Genomic DNA, 9,812 nt, shown 5'->3' on the forward strand with positions numbered 1-9,812 from the left:
CGTCCTTGCATGGTCTGACACCTCTGAAACCTGGGTGAATAATCAGAGAGGTGTCCTTGCAGTGATTAAACACAAACGGAAGGCTGACTTCCTTAGTCTGTGACTGGCGCCGGAGTTTTGGGTCCACGGATAAAACGTGTCTCCTTTGTCCTCACTAGAAAATGAAAGGAATTGAAATTAAGAGAAGGGAGAGATTGAAGTGTGGCACCAAGATTGAAAGGAGAAAGAGGTTGAGGGATAGTGAGGGAGGTTGGAGAAGAGAGTAAAAAGAGGCGGCTTACCGGATTTGAAATTGATGAGATGTTTCTTGGGCTGGTTGGTCTGAGGACTTGAGGTCATAGGTGGATCTTTCTCACGGAGCAAAGCAAAGGAGGACAGGGGATTGATCTCTTAAGGGAAGTCTTCTGATCCGAGTCACGGCACCAAATTTCACTCATGTCTGTGTGAAGAGACCGCCAATCAGGCTTTGTGTGAGCAATAAAGCTGTTTATTTCACCTGGGTGCAGGCGGGCTGAGTCCGAAAAGAGAGTCAGCGAAGGGAGATGGGGTGGGGCCATTTTATAGGATTTTGGTAGGTAAAGGAAAAAGGGGGGTTCTCTGGCGGGCAGGAATGGGGGTCACAAGGTGCTCACTAGGGGAGCTTTTGAGCCAGGATGAGCCAGGAGAAGGAATTTCACAAGATAATGTCATCAGTTAAGGCAGGAACAGGCCATTTACACTTTTGTGGTGGAATGTCATCAGTTAAGGCAGGAACCGGCCATCTGGATGTGTACTTGCAGGTCACAGGGGATATGATGGCTTAGCTTGGGCTCAGAGGCCTGACACTAACCTTATTCCATGCAATGCAGGTGTTTAGAACATTTGAATGTGTACTATATTTTCATAAACTAGAACGTGTTTAAAGATAACAATGCAGTTGGATGTTTAAGGGAATCATGGCTAAAACTTAAAACTAATGATTGCTTGCAATATGATTATAATGACCACACTCATCAAGTGTACAGTTTTTCCTGTTATTTTGGGTCTTCTAAAAATGAGAATATAACAAAATCGTGATAGGGCATCCATATAGATAATATAATGTGTTGGCTGCCTCTAAAGTGATAGAATTTTGTAGAGAAGATGAGGAATGATTATGTCTATAAGGAGAATATCAATGCATTTTGCAGTTGTTTCCCTTCGGGAAAATCTCCTAAAACTCCATAGCATGTTTCACTGTTGAGACATTTATTCAGGAAAATGTTTTCACTGTCCTTTGCTCTGGATACCCATGCTCTGTGCTTTGTAAATGTCTGTACATGCATGTTATACACTGATGACATTTTCGTCCTGGAAGTGTATTGTCTCCATAACTGAACACCTGCCACAAATCATAACATCAGACTCAGAATGTGCATTTGAATATTCTAGAGTCAATATATTAGAAGTTTTCAGAACATATTGCTCAACACACACAAAAATTAATCAAAATGTCCTGTTTTAGCTTTGCCAGCAATAGCAGGGCACAACAGAATACAGAACTGATTAGTTCCTTATTAAATAAGAATGGTGGCAACAGAGTTTTAAAATATCAAATTAGTTTAACAGAGGTCTCAGCAAAATGGAAAAACCTAAGCACAAGCTGGGCTGCAGACACAGCAGGGGGCCATCCATCTGTGAAAGGTGGAAATAACAAAGGTTCTTGCTGAGGTTGCCTTCTGACAAACTTTTCATACTTTGGAGCTGTAAAGAGTTCCTCTGGCTTGTTCTGATTTTTTTGAACTTTTCCATGGAGCAGATTTTCCCATTTGATCTCTGATGACACCAAAGAAATCAAGAGCACTCAAGACATTAAACCTGGTGTAGAAAATTCTCCTCCATCTGGCATAATCTTGGCTGCTGAGAAACTGGAGATGCACCCAATCTTGACAATAAGTAAAGCTATTGAGTGGCATCACCAGACAATCTCAGTAGCCTATTTGAACCACAAAAGCAAAGGAAAGTTTTAAATAGGCAATCACATACCCTGCTGTCTTACATATATCACTAGTCACCTTTAATAAATGGCAACTCATTATCTGACAAAGTAGAATTAGCGGTTTTCAGGAGCAAGAAAGTATGGGATAAAGATCTGTGCAGCTCCCTCATGTAAGATGAGAATCTGTCTGTGCAGGTTCTTCATCTACATGAACTTTGAATATTGGTATTCAATGTTAAAAGGTTGTTGAAGAGGTAGTACACACAACTTTCTCTAAAGCATAGCACCATCCCAATTTGGGACCAAATATATAATGAACTCTTAATGTTCTTTATCTATAGTTTCATTTTTAAGCATTATGAATAATCAATATCTGCTTATTACATTGAGTCCAACAAGGCAAGTGAAGAAGAAAAACCAGCTGTGAAACAGTTAAGGAGAAATTGCCAAGTCCATAATTTCCCTCTGTGCTGATAATGCCTCCAAATGGATGTATTATTTTATGAAGAATTCATCCCCAAGTTAGCACATGCCCTGAAAGATCTTTCCAAAGCCTTTAAACTATGTAAGGTGTTCATTATGGGCCTAGGTTTGGGAAATGGGGCTGTTTATATCTTTTTTTTTCTATTAAAATGAAAAATATTTATTATAAACCTATTTTTTTTGTTTGTTTGTTTTTTATGATACTTTAAGTTTTAGGGTACATGTGCACATTGTGCAGGTTAGTTACATATGTATACATGTGCCATGCTGGTGCACTGCACCCACTAACTCGTCATCTAGCATTAGGTATATCTCCCAATGCTATCCCTCCCCCCTCCCCCGACCCCACCACAGTCCCCAGAGGGTGATATTCCCCTTCCTGTGTCCATGTGATCTCATTGTTCAGTTCCCACCTATGAGTGAGAATATGCGGTGTTTGGTTTTTTGTTCTTGTGATAGTTTACTGAGAATGATGATTTCCAATTTCATCCATGTCCCTACAAAGGACATGAACTCATCATTTTTTATGGCTGCATAGTATTCCATGGTGTATATGTGCCACATTTTCTTAATCCAGTCTATCATTGTTGGACATTTGGGTTGGTTCCAAGTCTTTGCTATTGTGAATAATGCCGCAATAAACATACGTGTGCATGTGTCTTTATAGCAGCATGATTTATAGTCCTTTGGGTATATACCCAGTAATGGGATGGCTGGGTCAAATGGTATTTCTAGTTCTAGATCCCTGAGGAATCGCCACACTGACTTCCACAATGGTTGAACTAGTTTACAGTCCCACCAACAGTGTAAAAGTGTTCCTATTTCTCCACATCCTCTCCAGCACCTGTTGTTTCCTGACTTTGTAATGATTGCCATTCTAACTGGTGTGAGATGGTATCTCATTGTGGTTTTGATTTGCATTTCTCTGATGGCCAGTGATGATGAGCATTTTTTCATGTGTTTTTTGGCTGCATAAATGTCTTCTTTTGAGAAGTGTCTGTTCATGTCCTTCGCCCACTTTTTGATGGGGTTGTTTGTTTTTTTCTTGTACATTTGTTTGAGTTCATTGTAGATTCTGGATATTAGCCCTTTGTCAGATGAGTAGGTTGTGAAAACTTTCTCCCATTTTGTAGGTTGCCTGTTCACTCTGATGGTAGTTTCTTTTGCTGTGCAGAAGCTCTTTAGTTTAAATAGATACCATTTGTCAAGTTTGGCTTTTGTTGCCATGGCTTTTGGTGTTTTAGACATGAAGTCCTTGCCCATGCCTATGTCCTGAATGGTACTGCCTAGGTTTTCTTCTAGGGTTTTTATAGTTTTAGGTCTAACATTTAAGTCTTTAATCCATCTTGAATTGATTTTTGTATAAGGTGTAAGGGAGGGATCCAGTTTCAGCTTCCTACATATGGCTAGCCAGTTTTCCCAGCACCATTTATTAAATAGGGAATCCTTTCCCCATTGCTTGTTTTTCTCAGGTTTGTCAAAGATCAGATAGTTGTAGTTATGCAGCGTTATTTCTGAGGGCTCTGTTCTGTTCCATTGATCTATATCTCTGTTTTGGTACCAGTACCATGCTGTTTTGGTTACTGTAGCCTTGTAGTATAGTTTGAAGTCAGGTAGTGTGATTCCTCCAGCTTTGTTCTTTTGGCTTAGGATTGACTTGGCAATGCGGGCTCTTTTTTGGTTCCATATGAACTTTAAAGTAGTTTTTTCCAATTCTGTGAAGAAAGTCATTGGTAGCTTGATGGGGATGGCATTGAATCTGTAAATTACCTTGGGCAGTATGGCCATTTTCACGATATTGATTCTTCCTACCCATGAGCATGGAATGTTCTTCCATTTGTTTGTATCCTCTTTTATTTCCTTGAGCAGTGGTTTGTAGTTCTCCTTGAAGAGGTCCTTCACATCCCTTGTAAGTTGGATTCCTAGATATTTTATTCTCTTTGAAGCAATTGTGAATGGGAGTTCACTCATGATTTGGCTCTCTGTTTGTCTGTTGTTGGTGTATAAGAATGCTTGTGATTTTTGTACATTGATTTTGTATCCTGAGACTGCTGAAGTTGCTTATCAGCTTAAGGAGATTTTGGGCTGAGACAATGGGGTTTTCTAGATATACAATCATGTCATCTGCAAACAGGGACAATTTGACTTCCTCTTTTCCTAATTGAATACCCTTTATTTCCTTCTCCTGCCTAATTGCCCTGGCCAGAACTTCCAACACTATGTTGAATAGGAGTGGTGAGAGAGGGCATCCCTGTCTTGTGCCAGTTTTCAAAGGGAATGCTTCCAGTTTTTGCCCATTCAGTATGATATTGGCTGTGGGTTTGTCATAGATAGCTCTTATTATTTTGAAATACGTCCCATCAATACCTAATTTATTGAGAGTTTTTAGCATGAAGGGTTGTTGAATTTTGTCAAAGGCTTTTTCTGCATCTATTGAGATAATCATGTGGTTTTTGTCTTTGGCTCTGTTTATATGCTAGATTACATTTATTGATTTGCGTATATTGAACCAGCCTTGCATCCCAGGGATGAAGCCCACTTGATCATGGTGGATAAGCTTTTTGATGTGCTGCTGGATTTGGTTTGCCAGTATTTTATTGAGGATTTTTGCATCAATGTTCATCAAGGATATTGGTCTAAAATTCTCTTTTTTGGTTGTGTCTCTGTCCGGCTTTGGTATCAGAATGATGCTGGCCTCATAAAATGAGTTAGGGAGGATTCCCTCTTTTTCTATTGATTGGAATAGTTTCAGAAGGAATGGTACCAGTTCCTCCTTGTACCTCTGGTAGAATTCGGCTGTGAATCCATCTGGTCCTGGACTCTTTTTGGTTGATAAACTATTGATTATTGCCACAATTTCAGCTCCTGTTATTGGTTTATTCAGAGATTCAAATTCTTCCTGGTTTAGTCTTGGGAGAGTGTATGTGTCGAGGAATTTATCCATTTCTTCTAGATTTTCTAGTTTATTTGCGTAGAGGTGTTTGTAGTATTCTCTGATGGTAGTTTGTATTTCTGTCGGATCGGTGGTGATATCCCCTTTATCATTTTTTATTGTGTCTATTTGATTCTTCTCTCTTTTTTTCTTTATTAGTCTTGCTAGTGGTCTATCCATTTTGTTGATCCTTTCAAAAAACCAGCTCCTGGATTCATTGATTTTTTGAAGGGTTTTTTGTGTCTCTATTTCCTTCAGTTCTGCTCTGATTTTAGTTATTTCTTGCCTTCTGCTAGCTTTTGAATGTGTTTGCTCTTGCTTTTCTAGTTCTTTTAATTGTGATGTTAGGGTGTCAATTTTGGATCTTTCCTGCTTTCTCTTGTGGGCATTTAGTGCTATAAATTTCCCTCTACACACTGCTTTGAATGCGTCCCAGAGATTCTGGTATGTTGTGTCTTGTTCTCGTTGGTTTCAAAGAACATCTTTATTTCTGCCTTCATTTCGTTATGTACCCAGTAGTCATTCAGGAGCAGGTTGTTCAGTTTCCATGTAGTTGAGCAGCTTTGAGTGGGATTCTTAATCCTGAGTTCTAGTTTGATTGCACTGTGGTCTGAGAGATAGTTTGTTATAATTTCTGTTCTTTTACATTTGCTAAGGAGAGCTTTACTTCCAAGTATGTGGTCAATTTTGGAATAGGTGTGGTGTGGTGCTGAAAAAAATGTATATTCTGTTGATTTGGGGTGGAGAGTTCTATAGATGTCTATTAGGTCCGCTTGGTGCAGAGCTGAGTTCAATTCCTGGGTATCCTTGTTGACTTTCTGTCTCATTGATCTGTCTAATGTTGACAGTGGGGTGTTAAAGTCTCCCATTATTAATGTGTGGGAGTCTAAGTCTCTTTGTAGGTCACTCAGGACTTGCTTTATGAATCTGGGTGCTCCTGTATTGGGTGCATATATATTTAGGATAGTTAGCTCTTCTTGTTGAATTGATCCCTTTACCATTATGTAATGGCCTTCTTTGTCTCTTTTGATCTTTGTTGGTTTAAAGTCTGTTTTATCAGAGACTAGGATTGCAACTCCTGCCTTTTTTTGTTTTCCATTTGCTTGGTAGATCTTCCTCCATCCTTTTATTTTGAGCCTATATGTGTCTCTGCACGTGAGATGGGTTTCCTGAATACAGCACACTGATGGATCTTGACTCTTTATCCAATTTGCCAGTCTGTGTCTTTTAATTGGAGAATTTAGTCCATTTATATTTAAAGTTAATATTGTTATGTGTGAATTTGATCCTGTCATTATGATGATAGCTGGTGATTTTGCTCATTAGTTGATGCAGTTTCTTCCTAGTCTCGATGGTCTTTACATTTTGGCATGATTTTGCAGCGGGTGGTACCGGTTGTTCCTTTCCATGTTTAGTGCTTCCTTCAGGAGCTCTTTTAGGGCAGGCCTGGTGGTGACAAGATCTCTGAGCATTTGCTTGTCTGTAAAGTATTTTATTTCTCCTTCACTTATGAAGCTTAGTTTGGCTGGATATGAAATTCTGGGTTGAAAATTCTTTTGTTTAAGAATGTTGAATATTGGCCCCCACTCTCTTCTGGCTTGTAGGGTTTCTGCCGAGAGATCTGCTGTTAGTCTGATGGGCTTCCCTTTGAGGGTAACCCGACCTTTCTCTCTGGCTACCCTTAACATTTTTTCCTTCATTTCAACTTTGGTGAATCGGACAATTATGTGTCTTGGAGTTGCTCTTCTTGAGGAGTATCTTTGTGGCGTTCTCTGTATTTCCTGAATCTGAACGTTGGCCTGCCTTGCTAGATTGGGGAAGTTCTCCTGGATAATATCCTGCAGAGTGTTTTCCAACTTGGTTCCATTCTCCCCATCACTTTCAGGTACACCAATCAGACGTAGATTTGGTCTTTTCACATAGTCCCATATTTCTTGGAGGCTTTGCTCATTTCCTTTTATTCTTTTTTCTCTAAACTTCCCTTCTCGCTTCATTTCATTCATTTCATCTTCCATTGCTGATACCCTTTCTTCCAGTTGATCGCATCGGCTCCTGAGGCTTCTGCATTCTTCACGTAGTTCTGGAGCCTTGGTTTTCAGCTCCATCAGCTCCTTTAAGCACTTCTCTGTATTGTTTATTCTAGTTATACATTCTTCTAAATTTTTTCAAAGTTTTCAACTTCTTTGCCTTTGGTTTGAATGTCCTCCCGTAGCTCAGAGTAATTTGGTCGTCTGAAGCCTTCTCTCAGCTCGTCAAAATCATTCTCCATCCAGCTTTGTTCCGTTACTGGTGAGGAACTGCGTTCCTTTGGAGGAGGAGAGGTGCTCTGCGTTTTAGAGTTTCCAGTTTTTCTGTTCTGTTTTTTCCCCATCTTTGTGGTTTTATCTACTTTTGGTCTTTGATGATGGTGATGTACAGATGGGTTTTTGGTGTGGATGTCCTTTCTGTTTGTTAGTTTTCCTTCTAACAGACAGGACCCTCAGCTGCAGGTCTGTTGGAATACCCTGCCGTGTGAGGTGTCAGTGTGCCCCTCTTGGGGGGTGCCTCCCAGTTAGGCTGCTCGGGGGTCAGGGGTCAGGGACCCACTTGAGGAGGCAGTCTGCCCGTTCTCAGATCTCCAGCTGCGTGCTGGGAGAACCACTGCTCTCTTCAAAGCTGTCAGACAGGGACATTTAAGTCTGCAGAGGTTACTGCTGTCTTTTTGTTTGTCTGTGCCCTGCCCCCAGAGGTGGAGCCTACAGAGGCAGGCAGGCCTCCTTGAGCTGTGGTGGGCTCCACCCAGTTCGAGCTTCCCGGCTGCTTTGTTTACCTAAGCAAGCCTGGGCAATGGCAGGCGCCCCTCCCCCAGCCTCGCTGCCGCCTTGCAGTTTGATCTCAGACTGCTGTGCTAGCAATCAGCGAGATTCCGTGGGCGTAGGAACCTCCGAGCCAGGTGTGGGATATAGTCTCGTGGTGTGCCGTTTCTTAAGCCGGTCTGAAAAGCGCAATATTCGGGTGGGAGTGACCCGATTTTCCAGGTGCGTCCGTCACCCCTTTCTTTGACTCGGAAAGGGAACCCCCTGACCCCTTGCGCTTCCCAGGTGAGGCAATGCCTCGCCCTGCTTCGGCTTGCGCACGGTGCACACACCCACTGGCCTGCGCCCACTGTCTGGCACTTCCTAGTGAGATGCACCCGGTACCTCAGATGGAAATGCAGAAATCACCCGTCTTCTGCGTCGCTCACGCTGGGAGCTGTAGACTGGAGCTGTTCCTATTCGGCCATCTTGGTTCCTCCCGAGGCTGTTTATATCTTAAATTAACTTCTAGTCAGGCTTCACTCCACAACTAATTGGCATGACCTTGGGTGTATCTTCTCTCAAATATCCTTGACATCCATCTGCTGTGAAGATGAATTAGTTATTTAGGTAGCAATCCCATCTCTTGGTTTAGCCAATGTGCATCCATTCCTCTTTAGGCCTATTAAGCTGGGGATGAACTTTCAAGTTAATGCACAATGCAATCACTACCACTCTGGAGATGTCAGACACCTAAATATTTTCTATTCAGTAATGAAAAACCTCTTTCTAAAATAAGAGGGATAGAAAGAATAAAGGAGGAGGGATGAGGAGGGAAAAGTCAATAAAGACCTAGTGATTCAATTAAGAGTTTAGGTATCTGCCAGCTTTTATTAGGTCCAACTTTGACTTATACTGCTAAGGTCAGCAAGTGGTCAGTATGGATGCAGTGGGGAGGGTGGGGAGGGGGGGACCTGCATCAGAGTCTTAGGTAAAGGGAATATCAAGTCTCTTAAATGAATAAGAAGAGACAGTTGGCCCTGATAACAGGGAAAAAAAATCACATTTTTTTACTGGGAAAGGATAAATTTCTCCACAGTACCTTAGCCAGCATGAGAGACTCACTCACTACCACATGGCAGGTCAGGATAACCACCAAACTCCTTCCAAATGCTGACTCTCTCTCCTTATACACATACATGTACGATCCTTAGAGAAAGAAAAGGTGTGCTATCCATATCTGACTTTAAAATAACACATAATCTGAGGGATCTGGACGATTTATTTAGTAACAGACTATGAAATGGTAATACTTTTTTTCTGAATGTGATGTTTGTTCACTGGAATAGAAAAACAAATATATATTTTAAGAAAATACTAGATGGGAGAATTTGACCAGGTGCAATGGCATACATTGTCCCAGAATGTCAAAGCAATATCTATTGGGTAAACATTATTGTCTAGTTTTAGAGCTAAAGACATGGATCTCAGTGGGGTGTCAACCTTGCTTGAAGTAATCAGCTGTTGTCACCTCACATCCAAGTGTTTTGATTTTACAGTATACTTACTGTCACTACTATATCCATGCAGGAAGCAAACATTTATTCAGCATTCAGCATCTACTATACGACAGTCAGTGTACTAGATACTGGGGATACAACTGTGA

At 41.1% G+C, this 9,812-nt stretch overlaps 1 annotated feature.

Moving 5' to 3' along the window:
• Positions 8,345-9,030: an enhancer, noted in NCBI's record as "NANOG-H3K27ac-H3K4me1 hESC enhancer chr11:127652311-127652996 (GRCh37/hg19 assembly coordinates)". NCBI's record gives its function as "activates a minimal SCP1, AML or CMV promoter by ChIP-STARR-seq in naive H9 embryonic stem cells {active_cell/tissue: H9 hESC(naive)}" and the evidence as "EXISTENCE:reporter gene assay evidence [ECO:0000049][PMID:30033119]".

Source organism: Homo sapiens, chromosome 11, assembly GCF_000001405.40.
Source record: "Homo sapiens chromosome 11, GRCh38.p14 Primary Assembly".
Classification (NCBI taxonomy): Eukaryota; Metazoa; Chordata; class Mammalia; order Primates; family Hominidae; genus Homo; species Homo sapiens.